This window comes from Homo sapiens, chromosome 10 (assembly GCF_000001405.40).
Source record: "Homo sapiens chromosome 10, GRCh38.p14 Primary Assembly".
NCBI lineage: Eukaryota > Metazoa > Chordata > Mammalia > Primates > Hominidae > Homo > Homo sapiens.
Window position 1 is genome coordinate 47,364,949 of NC_000010.11, and position 23,981 is coordinate 47,388,929.

The 23,981-nt window shown below is 49.6% G+C and overlaps 1 protein-coding gene across 10 annotated transcripts, besides 3 other annotated features; it reads right to left on the reverse strand.

The window, feature by feature from the left end:
- Nucleotides 1-547: 547 nt before the first annotated feature.
- On the reverse strand, nt 548-19,345 carry ZNF488 (zinc finger protein 488). 10 transcript variants are annotated; one of them, XM_011539244.3, is made up of 6 exons: nt 19,272-19,345; nt 17,357-17,402; nt 15,736-15,913; nt 14,560-14,678; nt 9,513-9,591; nt 548-3,989 (listed from the first exon to the last, which is right to left on the reverse strand). In XM_011539244.3, exon 6 carries the CDS (start codon nt 3,879-3,881, stop codon nt 2,859-2,861), a length of 1,023 nt encoding a protein of 340 aa, XP_011537546.1. In that variant the 5' UTR covers nt 3,882-3,989; nt 9,513-9,591; nt 14,560-14,678; nt 15,736-15,913; nt 17,357-17,402; nt 19,272-19,345; the 3' UTR covers nt 548-2,858. The 10 variants fall into 10 exon arrangements, with proteins under 10 accessions (XP_011537546.1, XP_047280521.1, XP_016871132.1 ...); XM_047424565.1 differs by lacking the exon at nt 9,513-9,591; XM_017015643.2 differs by lacking the exon at nt 9,513-9,591 and having other exon boundaries at nt 14,560-15,913.
- Nucleotides 19,252-19,751: an enhancer, noted in NCBI's record as "H3K27ac hESC enhancer chr10:48354663-48355162 (GRCh37/hg19 assembly coordinates)". NCBI's record gives its function as "activates a minimal SCP1, AML or CMV promoter by ChIP-STARR-seq in primed H9 embryonic stem cells {active_cell/tissue: H9 hESC(primed)}" and the evidence as "EXISTENCE:reporter gene assay evidence [ECO:0000049][PMID:30033119]".
- Nucleotides 19,252-19,793: a biological region, named in NCBI's record as "H3K27ac hESC enhancer GRCh37_chr10:48354663-48355162".
- Nucleotides 19,314-19,793: a silencer, noted in NCBI's record as "silent region_2354". NCBI's record gives its function as "represses an Ori minimal core promoter by ATAC-STARR-seq in GM12878 lymphoblastoid cells {active_cell/tissue: GM12878}" and the evidence as "EXISTENCE:reporter gene assay evidence [ECO:0000049][PMID:35858748]".

The following is a 23,981-nucleotide window of genomic DNA, read 5'->3' on the forward strand; positions in this document are numbered from 1 at the left end:
AAGGGACCTCCCAGTGTCCCTTTGGGAATGATGATGCTTTATTGGCACCTGCAGGGAGCACCCTTCCCTCTTCTAGATGTGGAAGACAATGAGCTCAGGGGGTCCAGGCCCCCTCCTCCAGGCCACGCTCCCCACTGCAGCTGGAGAGTACCCCCAAAGTGCCTCTCCGAGCCAAGCCCTCAGTCCCCTCGGTCCAAACCGCTCTCCCGTGAGGCCCTCCTACCCCTGCCCCTCCATCTCCTCCTCACACCCTGACACAATTGCAGACTCTGGACTGATCTTTCTCCTCAGCCACTGCTCCCCTGCCTGCATCACCAAATCACCGGCACATACTTGCCTTTGAGGCTCAGCTCAAAGTGCCCAGGGATGCTGAATAAATGAATGGAAATGGACCCACTCACTCAATCCCTTGCCTGGCCAGGGAGACAGCGTAGGTGAAGGAAGCTCAGTACACATGGAGCCTTCCAGCTGCATGGCAGCCTCCTGCAACCCTCCACAGCCAAAGGAAGATTGCACACATATTCAGACCCAGCTTCTCACACAGAAATTATTTCCACAATATTTATTATGCACCAACAATATGCCATGCCCTGTTCTGGGCACCAGGGATGCACAGTAAACAAACCAATCTCTGTTCCCAAGGAGCTGACAGTGTGGAGGCAGCAAATCAACAAGACGACAAACAGAAAGATGGTTGCAGATGGTGAGACATGCTGTGAAGGAAGCAACAGGGTGATGCGGCTGAGAGAGGCAGAGGCTGCAGGGCTGCTTTACGGGGAATCTGGGAGACCTCTCTAAGGAGCTGACCTGCGAGAAGAAGCCCTGTGGAACCATAGCAGGAGCAGCACCATGAAGAGCTAGATAGAAAATGTTGAATGAAGCCCAGGCTTGAGAAACGGCACCAGAGCTGTGGTCAGAACACGGGAGCAGACAGTGGAACAGCAGCGAGGTGGTATAGCGGGGTCCCCTCTGCCCACTGCCACCTGTGGGCCTCATAAGGGCAAGCTCGGCCCATGAAGGTAGCAGGTATAGCTTCAGGGAAGTGTCAGAAACACTGGAAGTGTTATAGCATCATCTGCAATTGACTCATTGTAGAAATGGAAAGGAAACAGCTCTTGCCTTCCAGGGCTATTGTAGGACTCACTATAACATCTGTATTCTTCCAGTGCTTATGCTATTGCCTGGCACACAGGGAGAGTGAAATGAGTGCTTGCAATTAACATGAGGCAGGGACTTGTTCATGAAGCAGCTGGCAGGTCCTGCTGGGGTTAGGCCTGTAAGTGTGAAGGGCAGCCACAGGGTTGGAGGCATCATCTGAGTTACACTTTCAGAAGATTATCTGGTTGTGTGTGTGTGGACAATGGATGCGTGCATGGTGAGAGGCAGGAATGGAGGGAGCGAGGACATCAGAGCAGCCAGGTGGGAGTGCTGCTGCCTGGAACGGTGGACAGAGGAGAGCAATAGAAGAGGTGCAGTCTGGGAGGCTGGCTGAGATCCCCACCTGCTCAGCTGGGCTTATTCCCAGCCACAAGCCTGAGATCTGTGCTGGGGACTCATTGGAGGGCTGGAAACTGCATATCAAAAGAACAATATCTGACAGTGAGGTGGAAACCAGTGCAAAAACGACACTGGCTTGGAAACTCCCCACAAAGGGCTTTCACGCAGACTGACCTGTGGAATGTCAAAGAGTACAGCCTGGGCTCCACACATCCTTAGGAACAAGGGCTGATGCGGGTACCTACAACAGCTACTGACCGAAACGCAGTAGATAATAAATGGTACCTAGAATGCTCCCCAGCCTCACGATCTGGAAGCCTAGTTTTTGCACATGTCCTATTCTTGGAAGGTAAAACAGCATGTGTGTAGGTGGTGGGGAGGGGGTTCTATTTCCCCGTATTCATATACTCACAATGTGAAGAACTATGGACCAGGTATTGGCTGGAATTACCTGTCCCAATTCCTCACCCTCCTGTGGAGGGGATGGATGGTCACTCCCTTGTCACAGCTTCACCAAGGGCAGCCTACACTTTTCCACTCCTTAATATTGGGCCTGGTCCTGCCACTTGTATGGGCTGAGAGGACATTGGCAATGTGACCCAAGCAGAGGCTTGAGGTGTGCTTGTTAGACTCACCCTCCTGTGTTCTTGGCATGACCACGAGAGAAGCGTGCTCGCTCTGGGTAGCCCACCAGCCGAAGAAGAAAACGAATATGACTTGATCAAATCTGAGACTTGCTGCCAAGCCCAGCCAAGCTCAGCTTAACCTGAGCCAACCCACAGACTCACGACTTAGGCAGATGCTTTAGCTTGTCTGCCATGGAGATCTTGTTAATAACAATAGCTAACTAGTACAGACATCATCACAAACCTTGTTGACTCAGTGCTCAGGGTCTGCAGGCAGAATGCTGGCCACTTTCCACACACCTTTCATGTGACCTGAATGCCAACCTAAGACACAGTGTTATCATCTCCATTTCACAGATGAGAAAATGGGGACTCAGCAGGTTAAAGCTCTTTGTCCAGGGTCACAGCTAGTATGTGAAAGAGCCCAGATTCGAATCCAGGCTTGTGTGCCTCCAAAGCCCATGATGTGTGCCAGGAGTTGCCCCTGCTCTCTGTGCCTGTTAGGGCCTCTACCCTGGATTTGCAAAGCCCATCACTTTATTTCAGGACTTCATTTCCTTCAAAACACATCATGCAGGTGTGGCTTTTTCAAATTATGCCTGAGCTGTTTATCTATGAATGCCAAAAGCAGCAGCTCTGCAAAGGACCATGACAGCCCCCTCAACGCAGGCCCAGGGAGCCCCCCTCTGCCAAAGGCTGGCTGCTGCACCCAGCAGGTCATTCTGCGGTCACCTGCTAGCTGTGAGAAGTCATGTGCCGGGAGAGGTGGTGGCGCTCCCGGAAGTGCTCCTGGCACACAGGGCAGGCAAGGGCCTCTTCTCTCCGCTTCTGAGAATGTGGGTCAGGCCCCGCATGCTCCTTTTTGTGGTGGGATCGCATGTGAAAGACCAGGTCGGACGTTAGGCGAAAGGACAGGTTGCACTTTGCACACCAGTTCTGGGTGGACAAGCCCAGGGAGGTGAGGGTGGGTGGCAGGAGGGCCCACGAAGTGGTGGAGGATGATGAGGGTGGGGGCACCTGGGCCTGGGTATGCTCCAGCCACAGTGTAGGGGCACCCAGAAAAGTGCTACAGAGTGGAGCATTCTGTGGCAATGCTTGCAAGTTCCACAAATCACCAACCAAAAGCTTGGGAGTTGAAAGTCGACCCCAACAAGCGAGGTCTGTAGTGTTGAGGAGTCCAGACAGCTCCCCCAGGGCATCTGCAGATTCCCCTGCAGGGAAGACTGAGGTTAGCTCAGGCCTCTCTGCTGGTCGCTTGGTTGGTTTGCTAAAGGCGCTTCTTTGCTCACTTCGTGCTCCGCTGGGCCACACAGAGAAGACTTTGCTGCCAGCTGGGCCTCTGGGGATGTTCTGGGTCAGCTGTGGGGCACCAGGTTGGCCTGTGGGGTCATCGTGCTCCCTCTCCTGGGCCTGAGCATCCACCTGCCGGTCCTTCATCCTCGGCAGCTCCGTGAAGGCGCTCTGCCTCTGCTCTCCACGTGTCTTCGGGGGCAGCGGCTTGCCAGGTCGGGGCTTGCCTGGGGCTACCAACAGTGCCAGCTCCGCACTGCCCACATCCCGGCCCGCCCTGCCCACAGCAGCCTCAGGGCCCAGGCGGTTCGTCTTCTCGAGCAGCACTGGCTTGCAGCCCCGGCCCAGCTCAGGTTCGCTAAGTCGCCATCTGTTTTCAGCCGATGGGCTCAACGGGGCTCCCTTCCCAGCTGCCATGGTGATCACCAGGGCCGGGGCCACAGATAAGCAAGGTGGCCACTCTGGCATTCATCAGTCTTTGGGGGTTTGGGGTTCTGGAGGGCTTGGCCCAGCAAGGAGCCATGAGATATGGAAGCTCCCCATGACACTGGGCTGGACACACTCGGCCACAGGGCCCTGCAGAGAGAGGAAGCGACAGGCAGTGAGATGGGCATTCATCACTCAGGCACAGTGCATCATGAGCTGGCATCAGACAGGACCCTGATGCTCAGGCCTCCTCCGCTGTCTGTGGGATGGGTGTGCTGACTGCACCACCTCTCAGGAGACAAGGAGCATGGATGGCACCATCCTCCAGGGCCCACCTCCCTGAGGCAGAGTAGGGACTGAGGTCTCTGCTGAAAATGCCCATGGGCAGCAGCCTCTACAGCTCAGTAGAGAGAAACGTAGGATTCCCCTGTCAAAAGTGGTTCCTGGGGATTAACCAGGCATGAAATGGAGAGTCTGCAGGGGAAGGGAAAGAGCCTGCTCTGGGGGCTGCATTAGGGCCTTGGGGGCCCTTCAGAAGTTTCTGGGTCATCTGTCAACAAGTAGACTCCATCATGAGGAAGCCATGCACCCTCAGCCCCTGCTCCATGCTCGAGCTACCTCTGGCCCTGGCTGAGTGCTGAGGGCACAGGGAGGCCGCAGCATGAGGGTCGCAGTGTTGGAGGACCATGGACTTCATGGTCTTTGCTCCTCATGCAGCCCTCTCTGTCCCGACCCTAATTTCAACCCATTGCTCCTCGGTCTACCAGACCTGCCTCCCAGCCTGGTGGCCCCTTTGTCCACATCACATGCCCTGTCAGCTTCTGCGCGGTCTCTGATTTTCTCAGAGCCATGCTTCTTGTGAGAGTCAAGTGTCCCCACTCTTCCCCCAACTCCCAAGTACATGTGGGCAGCTTCATTCCCATCGTACCTGTGAACTCATTCCAAAATGCACCTCAGGCACAGTCTCCCCTTGAGGCTTGCCCAGTGCTCTCAGACACAGACAACACTCCCTCCTCCATGCCCTCACTGTCCTGGGCACCAAAGGCCTGCATGCACCACGTGCAACATTATATTTACTTGTTTGTGGTCTGCTAGAAGGCAAACTCTAAGAACCCAAATATGTCAATTCACCTTCACATCTGTAGTACTTAATCAAGCCTGCAACAGGACAGGAGCTCAGGAAGCCTTTGCTGAATGAATGAATGAATGAATGAATGACAGGACAGCAACTGTTAGAAAGAAGTCAACTTCCTCCTCCCAAAGAGTGTGGAGACCTGCTCCTGCACAGAGAGGAGAATGTGAGCCCTCCATATTCCCATAGGGCCAAGGGAGGAGACATCCGCATGGTGAGAAGGGCGAGGAGCCTACTGCAGCCTGCCTCTGAGCTTCTCCACCTCCTGCTCCTTCCCTGTGCTCCTTGCTGGGCACTTGGCCCCTGCCCAGTCCATAGCTCAGGCGCAGGTGGGGAAACCACTAGCTGTAGCAGAAGGGTATGCTTTGCTTTCCAACTCTGATGTAAAATCAAACTATGAAGCTCCACCAAGGGCGTCCAACCTATTCCCATTTCCTCATCTCCCCTTGGTTCCAACCCCAGTGAGAACCCACCCAGCTTTTCCTTAGGGAAATAGCCCACCAGCCTGTATTCTGAGAGCTCTCTAAGAATACAGCTGATTGGCCTGTGGGTGCCAAGAGTCACCTTAAGGGTGGAGGTCACACAAGGGCCTGGAACTCTGAAAGTACTCTCCCTCAGGCGCTGGACTAACAACAGTCTGACCATGGCTGGAAGAGGCAGGCTGAAGGGTCAGATCTGCCTAACAGGAGAGGGAAATGAGGCATGGTTTATAGTGGTGAAAGCAACAAGCAAGTAAATGCGTAACTCCAGAGACATGGTGAACAAAGCAGGATGCATACGCAAGACGAAGCACTGTGCAGCCTCGGACAGTGATGCTCGCTATGCTTATGAACGAATGCTGAGGAGGCAAAAGGACAAAAAGATTATAGATTTGGTGTAACCTATTCTATGCACACACACACACAAAATGCATACACCAAAGGAAAAACCCCAGGAGGAAACACAGAAAATGACCACCAGGTCATTTGTTCATTGATTCCCTCTTCCGTTCATTCCGCAAGCATTCACTGAGAGCATGCAGCATGCGGGCCCTGTGCGAGGCGCGGTAGTGACAGTGGTGATGAGGCAGTCCTGAGTTCAGCTGTACAGAACACAGGGACCTGCACATGTGCCAGTGTTGCAAACAGGCAATGGTGGCATCTAAACTGAGCTCTGAGGACCCAGAAGGGACTGCCCAGGGTTCACAAGAAGCTTGCATGGGGCCTGTGGTGTGGAAAACCTGAGGGCTCTCTGGGGAACTGAGCCTAACATAGTTCTGCAGTGGGAGAGTGCCCGGGGAGGGGCAGGATCCAGAAGCCAAAATAAAATGGACCTGACTGTTTTTAGAAATAAATGATTCATTTTTTAAGTGTGGCTATAAAGACTACGCAATAGTATGGGAAAAAAAAGCTTATAATACAATGTTAGTGTCAGATATAAACATGTTGTAAAACAAAACAGGAAAAAAGCCTATCTACCAAATAAACAAAAACATGAAAGAAAACATACCAAAGCAATAGATATGTGAAAAATAATTTTTACTATGTACATACACCATATAACATATAGTATACATAGTATGTATACATAATATACCATATAATACACTATATATGTAATGTGCTATATACTATGATGATGCTAGTATCATGGAATTTGGGGGAGTTTTTTCTCAACTTTCCAATATTTTCAAACTACTCTAGTCTTATTTTAGCATTTTGTTTTGTTCTGCAGTCAACTGTTTTAAAGGCGGCAGTGCCCTTTTCTGCTTGGTCGGGGTCAGAATTCTGTAAGGGATTCTCACGGCCCAGTGGAGCTGAAGCCTCTGTGACTTCAGAGATGCTACTTTCCTAACTGCTCCAGGAAATCATTCTGAGGTGAATTCCTCCCACTGTCTACTCTCCTTTGGAAAAGAGGAGTCCTAGCCCCCACGCTGGAGTGCTCTGGCTGGAGTTTCCTGGGAGCGGAGGGGCCTTCCCAGTGGGTGGACTATTTCTCATGGGGGCTTCACAGTCTGTTTCACACTGCCTAGAGAGACCCCTCCTCTGCCAAGCCTGGAACTGAGCATTCCCTGGGCCACAGGAACAAAAGGAGAGCTTTGGAAGAAGGGTGAAATGCCTGGGCACTCAGATCAGATCAGATCAGCTTTTAGGCAAAGTGCATTTCATTTTCTGTTCATTCATTCACTCAGTAAACATGCAAAAAGCACCTACTATGTGCCAGGCTCCAGTCTACATAAGACTGGTGACTCTCAACACTGACTGAATTCTAAGTAGTTGGAAATGACTGGAGAGTAGGGTGAGTGTGCAGTGTGGCCTGGAGAATGCATGTGGAGTTCAGAGTAGGAAGGTCCCCTGTGGAGGCCCAGAGAAAACTTCAGGGCTAGATGCAGTCCTGAAACAGCAGCCCTGGCCCTGCCCATGCTTGAATGCAGGAAGAGAACCTGAAATGTGGGGACAAAGAGCAACTGGCCAAGAACAGAGCCGGTGATGCTCAGGGGAGGGACACCCTCCTGTCAGCCCTCCCCACCCACCCCTTCTATGCACCAGCCTGTATCCAGTAACATGTCGCAAGGTCTTTGCTGGAAGCTCAAGCCTCCTCTGCTTTCTAAGCATGGAGAAGACAGAGACCAGTGTGAAGTATAGGTCAAGAAAAAAAATAAAGAGAAGGAGAAAACAGAGAAAATGCATAAAGATTCCCAGCTTTAAACCTTCTTCCACCTCCATCGTTGCCCCAAATTCCTCCAGGGCTCTCTGTCATGAAAATTTCAGAAAGTGCATGAGAAAACTTTGCAAATGAAGTCAGGGGTCACAGGCAGGGGAAAGTACTGGTCTCAGACTAGGCCAGATAAAGAAAAATATCAAAGACATCAGGAGAGCACCGACCTCGCCCATGGGATGCCTGCCGCAGTGAGATGCCACGCACCTGGCCTAAGTGAGAGGTGGACACACTCCCCTGGCAGCCACCATCTGGGGGTTCAACCTCATGTGTGTCCAGAGCTCTTGATGGGTGATGGAGGGATGGGCAGAGGCTGCTTCATCCCCACTGGAATCAGGCACCTCCTGCCGGGTGTTGACACAGATGTGAGGAAGGAAGGAAGCCACACCTATGGCAGACTGAGCTCTGTGGCTTACTCTGCCTTGGCGTGTCATGGGGCCACTGACCCCCATCACACTAGATTTTTCCAACCCCAGCAAACACACAGAACTCAGCCACCCTCACAGAGTCTCAAAAATAAAGGCTCTAGTGCTTGGCAAGTAAGAAATTAGGTCCATGCATGTGGCAAAAGTTAGACACAGTGAGCTTTGCTGGTTTTTCCCTCTGTTTTCCTTCCTCGGCAACATTCTTAAAAGAAAAATCAAAATAGTAATTACAACAAAAATGTCCTTGTTATCCTTCAGAGAGCACGGCACTGTATTTTCTTCACTCTAATGACTATTGCATCTATTTCCAAGCTTCAGACTATTAATAATACACAGGAATACCAAGAAGCAAATTAAAACAGAAAGGCACAAAAAGTAGAATGGGAAAGACGTGGGTTTGAATCTCACCTCCACGCATTTATTATGGAGCTTCAGTTGTGTAATGCAACTTCTCTGAATACTGGGCAATCGTGAAATGAGTGGGAACATAATGCATTTAAATAGGATAATAATATCTAGAAGGAGGCTCCCACCTCACCCGGCCCATGTCAGTGCCTCAGGAACGTTCATTTATTTCTTTGTGATCAAGGGACAGGAACAAAATGTACGGCATGGAGAAGTAAACAAAAGAATCAATGACTGTACACAGCCATGCTGCTGGGACATGGGACACCTTCTCCAAGCCCAAGATGGAGAGAGGCAAAGTCTTCCATAGACGGAACATCACTCTCCTAACTAAAATAGTTGCATTCTCAAAGATACAAAATGTGCCACTTTCTTAACTGAATAAACGCAGGCAGCATGGCGAGGAAGGACGGCCCAGCAGGCCTTGCCCAGTGTACCCTGAGAGAACACCAAACATTCTGCTCTTAGGTGCTCCATCCACCTACACTGTTTTATTCCCATGCCTTCACCAGATGTTGAAATGTGCTGCCAAATCAAACCTAGACGTAAGACAAACCAAAATAACAAGGAAAGCTTGCTGGTTAAGACTGAGAAACAGCGTGGGGTGGGCAAAAGCTAAGATGCTCGGGTATGAGTCTCAACTTCAGTGTTTCTAGATGGCCTTGGGCAGGTCCTTGTCCTTCAAAGATCTTGCTCAGCTGCAAAATGAGGAGGCTGCACCAGGTGTCCTCTATGGTCCTAAATACTATAAGGCGCCGAGTGACATCTTTATGTGGCATTATGATGCATCTTTTGTGATCAATCTGGTTTTTTAGACATTATTTTGACAAGCTAAAGGGCAAAAAATGCAGATCTAATAATCAGCTGTGACACAGCATGATACTTCTGTCAGCCATAGCCATACCCAGACTAAGTTGCTCTTCTAATGTTCATGAATATTCAAATACAAACAGGACTGTGGACTCCTTCTAAAAGAGGTGGATTAATAGGTCCCAGGAGCAGATCCCTGGTTACCTTGACACTCCACAGTGATTTCTCACATCCCTTAGGTTCCAGCAATCAGGGCTTCCCACCTGCAGACAGCAGCCTCTACCTGGGTAGTTTAAACAGAAAGGAACTTATTAAAGGCTATCATGCAGCTCATTAAATCCCTGTGAGAGCCAGAGACCAAGCTTGGGAGCTCTCCAAGGGTCAGGGTAGCCAGAAAAAAAAGCCTAACCATGCCCTGGCACTGTCTAGTAGAAACTGCTGGTACCAGCACCAATCACAAGGGACCAAACTCCTACAAAGTCCACCACAGCCACCCCACAAGTCCAGATGTCCCTGCCACCGTGAGTGACAGATATCACCTGCATGCCAAAGACTTCAGCTCATGGGACTCGACTGCACATCCGGGGCTGGGTGATGTATCTGGCTGCTTGTGAGGATCTGTGTCAAAGGCCTGCACCCTGGCTGCAAAAGAGTCTGGGAAACATGGATTTAGCTTCCCAACCTCTGCAGTGCAGGAAAGCCAAGTGAGATGGGGTTAGAAACAGTTGTTGACTGAACCAATGACAGTATCTGTTACTGTGGCACTTAATAAAGCTCACCCCCTGACGAAACTGAGTGGACACAGCCACGCAATTCTGTCTGAAGGTTTTCGTCTCTGCCTGCAACTTGATTTTCTTGGTATGCAGCCAGTGGTGTGCTGGAGCCAGCTCACAGTGGCTTGTGAGATGATCAGGAATGTTTCAAGTTAGCTGTTTTAACTCAGACATTATTCAAAACTAAACTATACAAACTTACAGTCAAAGAAGTTATATTAAAAACACAGGCAATACATACTCAGAACCCATCATTTCCTAGTCATTCTACTACACATTCCCATTGCCTACGCTGTGGACGCTGCTCCACCTGCCGGTGCGGGGGCTTGCCACGGTCCACTCCTCCTCATGCCACATCCAGGGATATCGTGAGTGGCCAGAAATCAGGGAATCAGCCAGAATGGGATTATTTATGGAAATGCTATAAATCAAGGCTTGATTTCTTGTTTTGTTCATTGTCTGGACTTAAGAAAGTAATGGAAAAAAATTGTCAATAATGCAGATTAAACTGAAATTTTTGTCTTGTCGATAGCTGTTATATTGTGAATAGCTCACAAAAAGCTGAGGGACTATTCTTCTAGTATTCCGAAACTATTATGTGATTTAGGAAAGAAGTTATTTAGATCACTGACAAACAAGTGAAGTTCTGACATATGTTCATTGTTCCACTTTCATCTTACACTTTATTGTAAATGAAAATATCACCCAAAATCCATGTTGCAGCTACATGCTGAGAACCAGCTGTTAAACACTTACCACACACCACAGCATGTACCCCATATACTTTCTAATTCTGGGCACCAGAATAATCAGAGAGACCCTCCTGGAAGAGGCAGGAGGCCTCCAAAGGGCAGACAGATACAAAGAAAAGAGAGGGCAGAAAGAACGGCACACGCGAATGCCAGGCAGTGACAAGAGTGGGTTAGACGTAAATCGAGAGTGTTTGTGAGGACTGTTTATGGGTAAGATCACATGGTCTAGCCACAGGGACCCACACCATATCTCTTAGGGGAGACAGTCGTTCTTTTATTCTGTGATAACAGGATGAATAGCATGGAAGTATTGCTCCACATGCAATGAGAGAGAAAAACACCTCTTCGTAACAGGACCTGGGATGGAGACAAGCCCACTTGAGTGGTTTGGGAGAAATGCTTCAAGATCAGGGATGGACCATGGACTGCCTGGGGTGCCTGAGGAATGTCCCATTGAGGAGGTGATATTATCTCTGGGTGTTGATGGATGAATACGAGTTCACCAATCAGGGATGGTAAGATGGCACAGGCAAAGTCCTAGTGGAAAAGAAGGGCTGGGTATATTTCAATCGTGAGGAAAAGACTGAGGGGCAGGAATTCAGCGAGACAGAGAGGATTCCTGTAAACGACCACTTTTCATTCACACTAAGCCAGGTCAGACCCAATTGTGAAATTCAACCCTGCCGAGGGAGGTATGGGAGAATAAGGAGAGAGAGTTAGAGTGGGAGCCAGGAATTTGCCCAGCTCTTTGCTCTGAAGAGCTCTGGGCTCCTTGACATCCATTTGCACTCATATCCTCCAAGAAGGGTGTACTCCCACCGTGCAAAGTCAGAGAACTCCCCACCCCATCCTCCTTCTCCCCCAGCCCTAGCACAAATGGAGGGGCTGAGGCAGTCACACTATGCCCAGCCTTCCAGACCACCAGATCCAGCAGAATGGGGGCTCAAGCCTGAGGGTCCTCACTGGTTCCCGTGCAGACACCTACAGAGGAGCCTGTGGCCAAACTCACACTCAGAGACATGAAATTATAGATGTCCTCCAGTGGAAATTATAACCCAGTGCTATTTCCCTCCAGAGCTTGCAGCTCTACCCTTGTGTGCAGACTTGAGGTGACCCTCAAGAAGCAGCCCAGAAAGCAAAACAACTGGGCTGCATCTGCGAGCTGCTCACACCAAAACACCGTCAGGGCTGCCATGCTGACTCGGGTTGCAGAGACCACCTTCAGCAGCCTGCCTGGCCATAGTCAGTGTTGCCGCTATCACCTACTGGACTGTTGGTCCCTGGGGAGAGACAGCCTGTGTTTGATCTATCTCTGCAACCCCCGCAGGGCATCTCAGGAAGAGTGGGGTGGACTGCAGGGTCCCCCTTTGCCCCAGGTTTTTAAACCAGCTGACAGGAAAGGAGGAATACGCGATCTCTACGACAAGAGCAGTCAGATGGCTTGGTTCTGTTTTATGCTACTCAGCATCCTTCCTAACCAAACCCAGTTTCAGTTTGAGAAGCTGCTTATGTGTGCCTGGTACTGGAACTCTCTGAATAGCTCAATCCCGGTCTTTTTTGAGCTTATTTCTCCAGTTCTTCCTCTGACACTGTGATCTACCTGCCACCATAACCTTCTAATTAATTCCTTCTTCACAAAGTTGGCCAGAGTCCATCGCTGTGGTTTGCATCCAAAGAATCCTGATTGCTATGGATGTGACAACTCACCTCAGCTCAGAGCACTATACCTCCAGGACTCTCTCACAGAACAATAACAATCAAACACAGACACTCACACACACACACAGCTGCCACCCAGAGATGCCGGCAATAACAATCTCACACACACACACACACACACACACACACACACACACATGGCTGCCACCCAGAGGAGCCAGCAATAACAATCACACACACACACACACACACACACACACACACACACACACACACACGGCTGCCACCCGGAGGCGCCGGCTCAGCCCTGCCCCTGCACCTGTCAGCATCTAGCAGCAGCTGCCACATTCACAGAGCACACAGGGCTTCTGCCTGCCAGCTCTGACTTAATTCGACTGTGTTTGCACCCTGGTTGAGGGCAGTTTTCCTTCCTTGCTGGTTGCCATACTCATTTTTTCTCCTGACCCTCAGGAGTGCCAGGCCACTTCAGGCACCTGGGGACAGGGGATCTGTAGGCATAGGTGCACAGAAGGACAAAAGTTGGAGCAATGCACATGCAGGCTTGGCAGGATGGGTCTGGCTGTGCCTGGCCCCCACCCCCACACTAAGGGGCTGCCACCCCACCACCTGGCCCTGCCCCTAGAGAGAGCATGTGTAACCTCATCTCCACTCGCCAGAAGTGCTCACTCTTGGTTCTCCCCACACATGGATCCACTCGCTTCTCTGCTCCCCTGGCAGAGCTTCGCGAACTGCCTGCCTGTGCCAAACTGGACCTCCATGGATGGACCAGCTTTCAGCCTCACCCTGGAAGTGCCCACGGTGTGGAAGGGAAGACATGCACTGACCACATGTAAAGGTGGCACCCATGGGGAGGTGGTATCAGCCCTGCTGGGATGCCTTCATCCCTACCCGCTCTCACCAGCCCCACCCTCAAGTTCTGGAAACTAGAACTCAAGCTCTTCAAGTGCCCCCTCCACTGGTGAGAGGTACTGGCAGAACCAGACTCCACTCAGCATTCCAGAATTCTCATCCTTAGAAAATATTTATCCCAGGGCTCAGGGAGAATCTAGGAGTGGATGAGAGCCTCCATGGCTTGCTATGCATAAATATAGCCTGGGCCAAATCAGCTTCTTCCTCTCCCTGCTTCCCGCCCAGCCATGAAAGGATGTACCTGCGTCCAGCCACTTCCTGCAGGAGCTCTCAAGGAGATGAGACAGAGAGCCCAACCCTCTCATGGAGTGAAAGCATGGGATAAATCAGAGAGAAAGCAAGAAAAGTGAACATAAAACCTCACGTTCCCTTTTGTCACAAGCTTTTGACTAGCTCCTGTGGAACATCGCCACCCCGCCTTGCCCTGCAGACCACCCCGTGTGACTTCATGAAGAGGACGCAAACCACGTGGTGCAGCAGGCTCCACACCACTCCTGATGCCCTTTTTGAGTGGATTCCTCAGAGGGGGTGCCTGACGTCAGAGGTGAATGTCGGCCAGTGTCTCCCAAAGAGGCAGAGGCAGAAACATCACTCCTCTCTGTGTTCCCGAGCAAAGCACTCAACCTCTCTGAGCCTCAGGTTTCCATCTGTAAAATGCGCTCTGGCTAAGCTGTCTCTCCAGGCCATCCCAGACCTACTCATGTATGACTAATTGGAAGAAACCAGTTCTCCTTTACAGCAGGATGGAACATTTGCTATCAGGATGCTTCAGGGTATCAGAATAGAAGTTACCATTTATCGGCTACGTAAGTATCTACATGACAAACAATAGTATTAACAAATGAAATAAGGCACCTTGTTCATTTCATTTTCATAAAAACCATATGAGGGAAGCTATGTGTCTCAATTCAGATGCACTTATCTCCAATCTGCCAAATGCCATCCCGATAAACTCAGGGCAGCATCTCAGCTTTCAGAGACCACTGTGGATCCTGACACCGCCAACTGCTGAATTAAATATCCCACCCAGCTTCACACTCCATCAATGTTAACATCCAGATCTTAATAAGAAGGAGCAGGAGGATGGAGAAAATGAGGAGATGAAACTAGGAACTAGCTGGGGACCTTTCATCCCACCTGGGACCCTGGAGGGTCACCGCTGTCGCATGCATCAGCACTGCATGGAGTAAGGTCAGTAAGGCCAGGGCACAGCACGTCCTCCAGAACCCCAACAGAACAAGGGCCAGACCGAAGACCTGCAAGGTGGAAAATGACGTGAGGCTGGCATGACTTGTCCCCAGGGAGCCCCCGCCAGCTCCTCATGCACGTCTCTCCTTTGCCCACAGACTCACAGCCTTCTTCTTAGTCTAGGATCTTTCCCAGGGCCAACATCAGATTTGAGTCTCTTCCACCTCCGGGCTTCATTTCCAACACCTCTCAGACAGCACCTCAGATGGGGGTATCTCATTCCAGGTCATGCTATACCCTGGCCAGGGCATTCTCTTGGTCAGAGCCCTGAGCACACACACTGCAGCCCACGCTACGTGGCTCCTGCTTTCCTCCGGGAACCTGCCTGCGCCCTTTGCACCTGCAGATCCTCCTCTGTCCAGACCGCTGTGGGCACAGTGGAGCTGTGCCTTCCTCCCCTTCACAGACACCAGCTGCCCTAGACGGCGATGGATCTATGAAGCCCTTGTTCTCCTTGCTCCGAACATGATATGAAAAGATGCTTTGTGGTCGTCAGCTCTCCTCAGTAGGTTCAGTTCACACCCGGGCTCTCACCCCCTGACACTCTTTACTGGCCCTCGTCACTCTGTCATTGTGAGTGTCCTGGGAAGGGCTCCTCTTGTTCTCCTTGGCTCTTGTCCCTCTGACCTCAGCAAGACATCTTTCTGAGCCACACAGATGTCTCTCATTGCCACCCCATGTCTTTCCTACTTGAAAAAAACAGATTTAATTCCAGGACTCACCCACCACTTTCAGAGCCCTCAGATCACGTGAATCACAGAAATCAAGTGATGATCTTTGAAACTTTCTGAAACTGAGCTCCCCAAGTCTACAGGGGATCTAACCATGCCTGGCCTTCCCCACCAACACAGAGCACATCTCCCAAAGGCTTCCAACCAACCTGGGCCATCAACCAGGGTCCCCTGTTGCCCAACTCAGCAAGTGCTGCATCCTGGGAGATGAAGCCTCGCCCACCCCACAGTGTTAAGAGCTTGTGGTTCTCGGTTTATCACCCATCCTCTGGTGACTGCACACTGATCATTCACTCATCTGGGAACCACTGGCCACATTCTCCCACATTATCACCTTGACCAGGTTGTCTCAGGTAACCTTCGAGCCTTCCATCCAAATAGATGTTAAGTGCACGGGCTCCACGGTTGGAGGCCAGCTCTGCTGTATCCAACCTGTGACCTTGGGCAAGGCGTGGGTCCCCTCCAGGCCTGTTTTCTGATCTATAAAGAGGGTCACCTTGGTGTTTTCTTCACTGGGTTGTGGGAAAGATTAGAAGGATTAATATAGAGAAAGTGCTAAGGAACCTGGCTCAGTAAACATTAGGGGTATCACTTCTTATCGCACTGAGTGCAAAGGGACAGAGTCCACTCCATGGCAGCCTTCCCATTACTCCTGAGCTCTCAGGGACCAGTGCATAACAGTGTTTAATAAATGACCAAACAGCCTGGGCATTTTTCTCCTTCCTGCTCCACCTACAGAAGAAAGAACTCTTGGCAAACATCTGGATAACCTCTTTTTCCTGGGATGTCTGAAGTCACTCCCTAACCCAAGCCAACTGGCCAGCCTCAAGCTGTTCTGAGCTGCAGGTCAGGCACCAGATCTTATTCAGAGACACCATGTACCCCCACCCGCTCCCCCCAAGCAGTGCTTTGCTGCATCTGCTTTTCTCTTCAGTTAAAACACACAAGAGCAGAAAATACCTCCTGTCTTCTAATCCTTTGGTATCCCTAGTCTCTGCAGAAGCTTCCCAGACCCTTTTGGAAGATTCCAGAGGACAATCATCTACGGGCCTTTTCTGCATTTGGATTGTGAGGTCCTGGGGTTTCCTAAGAAAGGGAATACACCTGTTTCCAGGAATCCTCCTGGCTCTGGCACACTGAGGAAATTAAACACTGAAGGTGATCCAGGCTTTCCCAGAGGCTGGCTGGTGGCACTGGGGAGATGAGCAATTCCTGGTCAGCCCCTACAGGCTCTGTGGCCAGCTACGCCTGGACCCCTCTAGCAGCAATGCCTGCTGCATTCGAGGAAAGCCAAGTGCAGGAGACTGCGAACACAGCCAGTACCCATGGAAGCAGGGAGAGTGGCCCTAGTGCAACATAACTTGGCCACGTCGACCCTCATAGGGGTGGATGTGATCTCATCATCCACTCAGATGTCTGAGACTGTGCAGAAGCAGGGCCAGTGAAAGCAGAGGGCAGATCCAATGCTTCAATGGGGCCCTGCTGTGCAGATTGAGAGTCTGCCATGAATATGACTGAGGATGGCCAGGACATAGAACAGGGAGCAGTGTTCTGCCAAACAATGCCAATAGGCAGTGGCTGGTGCTGTGTGGAGTGATATTTTAGACGTTATATTTGCCAGGGCTGCAGCAACATGGAAGTCACATAAAGGGACTGAATTAGCCCTGGTCACTCAGGCGCCAGGGCACTACTTGTGTTCCAAATCAACCCTGCCACTACCTGCCTGAGCTCAGACAAACACTCTGGGCCTCCATCTCTTCATAAGTAAAACAAGAATGGTGATCTTCACTTCAGGCACTCACGGACAGGACTCAACAGGGCTCTGTGCATGCCAGATAGCAAGAGCACAAGGAACAGCAGCTCTTTTCCTGATACAACTAGAGAATAAAGGTGGAGCCTGAGACAGTGGTCCCAATTCCACTGGCAGCCTTCAGGCAAAAAGTCCATGATTTTACCTCAGCTATTCCTTCCGACCTTCCCAGGTTCCAACAATAGCATCATCTAAGGATAAAAAGACAATGATGTTCTTATAGAGGCACAGACCACTAATGAGGAAAAATAAGTTTAAAAATATTTAAGTTTGTCTTTTTTTTTAAATAATTGGTGTGATTATATGTTTCAAACAAAAGTTGCCACCTCTTGGATGTCTGAAAAGAAATCTGCCAAGCAAAGCAGACACGATGATTCTAAATCATTTGCAAAGTCTTTTATCCCTCCCCCCAGAATCCGCATATGTTGGGGATCAGGGATTAGATATAAAGGCAATTTAACTTTTTAAACCAGAAAAAAGCCTCACAAATCACAGTTCCATGCACATACCTATGAATTTGTCCAAAATATCTAGCATATGCAAATTCTTTCACTGAACACACTGCAATGCACCTTCATCATACTTAATTTCTGTTTAATTCTGTGTGATTTATCTACGGCCAAATTTCCATTTCTGTATCAATCAAAAGTAAATTAGTTGAATTTTCATTAAAGGTCATAATAAACTACAATATCATGTTAACTTATTTCCAAGAAGTGAAAGCTTCAACCTTTATTGGTAATTAAGATCTTTACAAACAAACAAGGGCTCTTTTATAACTTAGTGCATATATATTATGTATTTGTGTGTGTTTGAACATATAAATATGTATGTGTCATAAAATATCATTAAAAACTAAATCACATATCTCTGATAAGATTACATTGTAACCAAGAAACAAAAAATTGCCTCGATATAGTTCTATTTTATCCCTCAAAAAGAATGAGACTTGATTTTCTAGAGTTCGTCCCTTATGCATCTACGACAATCTTTGATACTAACAGGAAATATTTTCCCCTTGGCCCTCCTATCTAATGTACATAAAATCATTACTTTCAAATGCCATAATTACTGCCATAAAATGTCTAATGTCTCCCTCAGGAGTAATTAATTTCATTTCTGTACATCAGTGGCATTGGCAACTACATATTTTAGAAATTTACTGTTAATTTCTTATTTCCAGGCTCCCTCAAATGTTTCAAAGCCCTGGCCTCCCACTGTCTTCCTACAACCCTGCTCTGAATCCTGTCCCCTCCCTCCCCTGCACCTGGCATTGCATAGCCTGCCCAGAAGGCAGGTGTGGGTGGGAACGCCCCCTAAATGCTTCTGCAAGGCTTAGCTTCCTGCTGTGCTGTCTGTGTCTATTAGTAAAGGCAAAATGTCAAGGAAAGGATTCAATCAACCCCTTGTCTCTAAAACCAGGTATGTTCTTTTAGCTCATTCTAAAAACTCATTATAATGTGATCATTTGGTATTGTTTTGTTTCCCAGGAAAGGCAGTGAACAGGATACATGTCCAGATCTTTGGATATAATCTGTTGGAGAAAGGATCTGGGGCTGATGCATGGTTCTTACCCTACTGCCCAGCGCAAGCCCGGGCTGAGAATAACAGCAACACAGGATAAACCCCGGGAGAGACAGTGGGAGGGAGGAAAACAACTGCAGCCTGAAAGTCACCCTAGGAGAAAAATTCATAGGCAGAATTCTTGAGTGCTGAAAAAACAGGGGGGAGAGGGAGAAGGTAGGGGAGAAGAATAAACAAAGAGAGGAAAAGAGAGAGGGAGAGAGACTGACACAGAAGAAAATGAAAACAGGAAGACAATAAAGAAGAGATAGAGGAGAAAAAGTGAGAGAAGAGAAAGGGAACAGAAACGGGGATGGGACTCGGAGACGACGTGGGAGAGAGAGGAAGCTGGCGACATTGGGAAGGAAAGGACCCCACAGTCAAAGGCAGGACTCAACAACCCTGTCCTGGGGAAAGGCTGATGTGGAAGTGAGATGGACCCCGCCGCCCGCGCCCGCTCGCGGCTCTGTCCCTGCAGACAGGAGGGTGCGCCTCACCTGGGCTCTCTGGAGATGTGGAGCAAGAGGTGCTGGTGCAGCACAGCCTCCTCCCGGCCAAGAGCACTGCGCGTGGCTCTGAACTTGGCGCCGGAGCCCTGAGGGCGGCCAGATCCCGCCCCCAAGCCGCTCCCGCCTTCGGGGCGTGGTCTCGGCGTCGCCCACCCCCAGGGAAGCTCCAGCCTTCGGGGCGGGGCTTGCGGGTGGGCGGCCCCGGCAGGGGAGGGTGCCGCTGGCCAAAGAACTCACAACCCCGGGAGAAAACCCCCTTCTGACCCTCTGGGCTGCCCGGCCCTTCCCCGGCTCAGCTCCGCGGAGATGCCCCCAGCTGGCTTGGTCAGGGCCGGGCGCCATCGCCTGCGGGAGGGCGAGGGCGTTCTTTGGAGGCGGTGCCTGCTCTCGCCTACGCCCTCTGGTCCTGGGCGCCCGACCTCTCGCTCCTGGGCCCGCGGGGCCTCGGCGATGCGGGCGAGGGCTGCGCGCGGTGCCTGCGGCTCCAGTCTGCGCCGAGGACCCCCACGGCCTCCTGGCCCTCCTTCCCCCAGCAGCCTGGCGGCCGCTCGATCGGCACCTCCCCCCGCCGGAATCGCCCAGCTCCCCCCGGGAGCGCCCGCCGCCTCTGCTCCCCAGACCTCAGCTGTGACCACGCAACGCTCTGCCAGGAAGGCGGACTCCGCGACTCGGGCCATGGTGGAAAATGACAGTTAAAGTGCGTTAAAATTAAGAACTTATACTTTGATTAAAAAACAACAAACGGAGTGAAAAAGCAAGCCACACACTGAAAGAAGATACTTGCAGCAATTGATAAAGGATTAGTATCCAGGATATATACTTTTAATGAATTAGTGTGAAAGAGAGGAACACCCAAAGCAACGAATGGACACAGACATGAATAGGCACTTCAAAGAGGAACCACTAACGACCAAAATCATGTGAAAGGACGAAGTCTCTAGAGTAATTAGAAAATGCAAATTAAGACCACAAGGAGATGTTTAATCATTAGGCATAAATGTTAAAATATAATAATACCAACTGTCATGGAAGGCATGAAGCAAGGGAACCCTAATATGCTGGGGCGAAGTACACCCAATTTCATTTATTATAAAAGACCACTAATTTAAGATATTCTATTATACTAAATACAGCTCCAAAAGAGGGGGAAAAAACTGACAACCAACCAACTCAAATGCTTTTCATCACTTGTAATTTTTAAGTTATATAAAGAAAGATCTATTTTAGACTGTATTAATCCATTCTCACACTGCTATAAAGAATTGCCTGAGACTGGGTAATTTATAAAGGAAAGAGGTTTAATTGACTCACAGTTCAGCATGGATGCAGAGGCCTCGGGAAACTTACAATCATGGTGGAAGTGGAAGCAAAACAGGTCCTTCTTCACAGGGTGGCTGGAAGGAGAAGAATGAGAGAAGTGCAGAGTGAAGGGGGTAAAAGCCCCTCACAAACCCATTAGATTGCCTGAGAACTCACTCACTATCATGAGAACAGCACAGGGCAACCACCGCCATGATTCAATCACCTCCCAGTAAGTCCCTCCCCCTACATATGGGCATTACAATAAGGACTATAATTCAAGATGAGATTTGGGTGGGGAAACAGAGGCAGGCCATATTATTCCACCCCTGGTCCTTCTCAAATCTCATGTCCTCATATTTCAAAACACAATCATGCCTTTCGAACAGTCTGCCAACGTCTTAACTAATTCCATCATTAACCCAAAAGTCCAAGTTCAAAGTCTCATCTGAGACAAGGCAAGTCCTTTCCACCCATGAACCTGTAAAATCAAAAGAAAGTTATTTCCTAGATATAATGCAAGTACAGGCATTGTGTAAATACACCCATTCCAAATGGGAGAAATTGACCAAAACAAAGGGACTACAGGCCCCATGCAAGTTTGAAACCCAATAGGGCAGTCATTAAACCTTAAAGTTCCAAAATGACCTCCTTTGACTCCATGTCTCACACCCAGGTCATGCTGGTGCAAGATGTGGACTCCCACGGCCTTGGGCAGCTCTGGCCCTGTGACTTTACAGGGTACAGACCCCCTCCCAGCTGCTTTCTTGGGCTGCCTTTGAGTGCCTGTGGCTTTTCCAGGCACAAGGTGCAAGTTGTCGGTGGATCTACCATTCTTGGATTTGAAGGGCAGTTGTCCTCTTCTCACAGCTCCACTAGGCAGTGCCCAAGTGGGGACTCTGTGTGGGAGCTCCAGCCCCACATTTCCCTTCTGCACTGCCCTAACAGAGGTTCTCCATCAGGGGCCTGCCCTTGCAGCAACTTCTGCCTGGTCATCTAGGTGTTTCCACACATCCTCGGAAATCTAGGCAGAGATTTCCCAACCTCAATTCTTTTTTTTTTTTTCTTTCCTGACATGGAGTCCCACTCTGTTGCCCAGGCTGGAGTGCAGTGGCATGATCTCGGCTCACTGTGACCTCCACCTCCTGGGTTTAAGTGATTCTCCACTTCAGCCTCCCAGGTAGCTGGGATTACAGGCACCTGCCACCATGCCAGGCTAATTTTTGTATTTTTAGTACAGACAGAGTTTCACCATGTTGGCCAGGCTGGTCTTGAATTCCTGGCCTCAGGAGATCCGCTGGCCTTGGCCTCCCAAAGTGCTGGGATTACTGGCGTGAGCCACCACACCTGGCCCCAAACCTCAATTCTTGACTTCTGTGCACCCACAGGCCCAACACCATGTGCAAGCTTCCAAGGCTTGGGGCTTGAACCCTCTGAAACAATGGCCCAAGTTGTACCTTGGCCCCTTTTAGCCACGGCAGGAGCTGAAGCAACTGAGACGCAGGGCACTATGTTCCAAGGCTGCATAGAGGAGATGAGGGCCAATGAGCCTGGCCCACGAAACCATTTTTACCTCCTAGGTCTCTGGGCCTGTGATGGGAGGAGCTGCTGTAGGTCTCTGAGATGACCTGGAGACATTTTCCCCATTGTCATGATGATTAACATTCATCTCTTCATTATTTATGCAAATTTCTGCAGCAGGCTTGAATTTCCCCCAGAAAATGGGTTTTGCATTTCTATCACATCTTCAGGCTGCAAATTTTCTAAACTTTTATGCTCTGCTTCCTCTTGAACCCTTTGTTGCTTAGAAATTTCTTCCACCAGATACCCTAAATCATCTCTCTCAAGTTCAAAGTTCCACAGACTTCCAGGGCAGGGGCAAAATGCCATCAGCCTCTTTGTTAAAACATAGCAAGAAGCACCTTTATCCTAGTTCCCAACAAGTTACTTATCTCCATCTGAGACCACCTCAGCCTGGACTTCATTGTACATATCACTATCAGCATTTTGGTCAAAGCCATTCAACAAGTCTCTAGGAAGTTCCAAACCTTCCCACATCATCCTGCCTGTCTGCTTGTTAGCCCTCCAAACTGTTCCAACCTCTGCCTGTTACCCAGTTCCAAAGTCACTTCCACATTTTTTGATATCTTTACAGCAGCACCCCACTACCTGATAACAATTTATTGCATTAGTCCATTCTCATGCCGCTGTAAAGAACTGCTCAAGACTGGGCAATTTATAAAGGAAAGAGAGATTTAATTGACTCACAGTTCAGCATGGCTGGGGAGGCCTCAGGAAACGTACAGTCATGGCAAAAGGGGAGGCAAACACGTCCTTCTTCACATGATGGCAGGAAGGAGAAGAATGAGAGAAATGCAGAACGAAGGGGGGAAAGCCCCTCACAAAACCATCAGATCTCATGAGAATTCACTCACTATCATGAGAACAGCATATCACCCCCATGATTCAACCACCTCCAATGAGGTCCTTGCCCCAACACATGGGGGTTACAATTTGAATTATAATTCAAGATGAGATTTGGGTAGGAACACATAGCCAGAACATATACACTTGGTAGAAATTTTCTAAAATTATATGCCACTCTTGTGCATACAAAAATGGAGAAAATAAAATTGATTAAGGTATTTCTACAAATGTTTTACAGTAACACTCTGACTTCTGAATCACGCTTGAATCCCACTTGGTTGTGCCCATGTTTTTCCACACACTATACCCTCTCTGCCATTCAAAGCCCTGGTCATACAGCAGTTTTGACACTGGGATGTGAACTCATTCACACTCCTGCCCTAGAGCTGGGGCCTGTGTTCCCTCCCACTGACTCTTGGTATCCCATTGACTGCTTGGATTAATAGAGTACAGTGGAAGTGACACTGTGTGATTCCCAAGGTGATGCCATAAAAGGCTCTACAATTTCTGACTTGCTCACTGAAAATACTTACTCTTGGAACTCTAAGCCACCTGTTAAAGCCCAAGCACCTTTAAGCCACCATGCTGAGAGGAAGCCCAGGTCATACAGGGAGGCCACATGCAGAGTCTCCATTCACAGTTCCAGCTGAGCCCAGCTTTTGAGTCCTCCTGCCAGAACCCACACTTATGAATGGAGGATCCTCCAGAAATCCCAGTATCCAATCCTTCAAGTCATGTCCGGCTGCTCAAGCCTTCCCATCAGGGTCTCCAGACATGTGGAGCCCTCCCCACTCTGCCCTGAGTGCCTGATCCTCAGAACCTGTGAGTGTAATAAAATGGGCCTTCATCATAGAATAAATAGGCTTCATTGTCCTCTTATTAATGCGGGAAATTTCCTTTTTGTTTCATTTTGTTTTCCTGCTTAATACTGTTGTGTTCCCCAGGAATGTTTCCTGCTCCAGGCTGACAAGT

What these genes read in the sequence shown, in the direction of transcription:
- ZNF488 (NM_153034.4), bottom strand. Translation starts at nt 3,881, where the DNA reads ATGCCAGAGTGGCCACCTTGCTTATCTGTGGCCCCGGCCCTGGTGATC.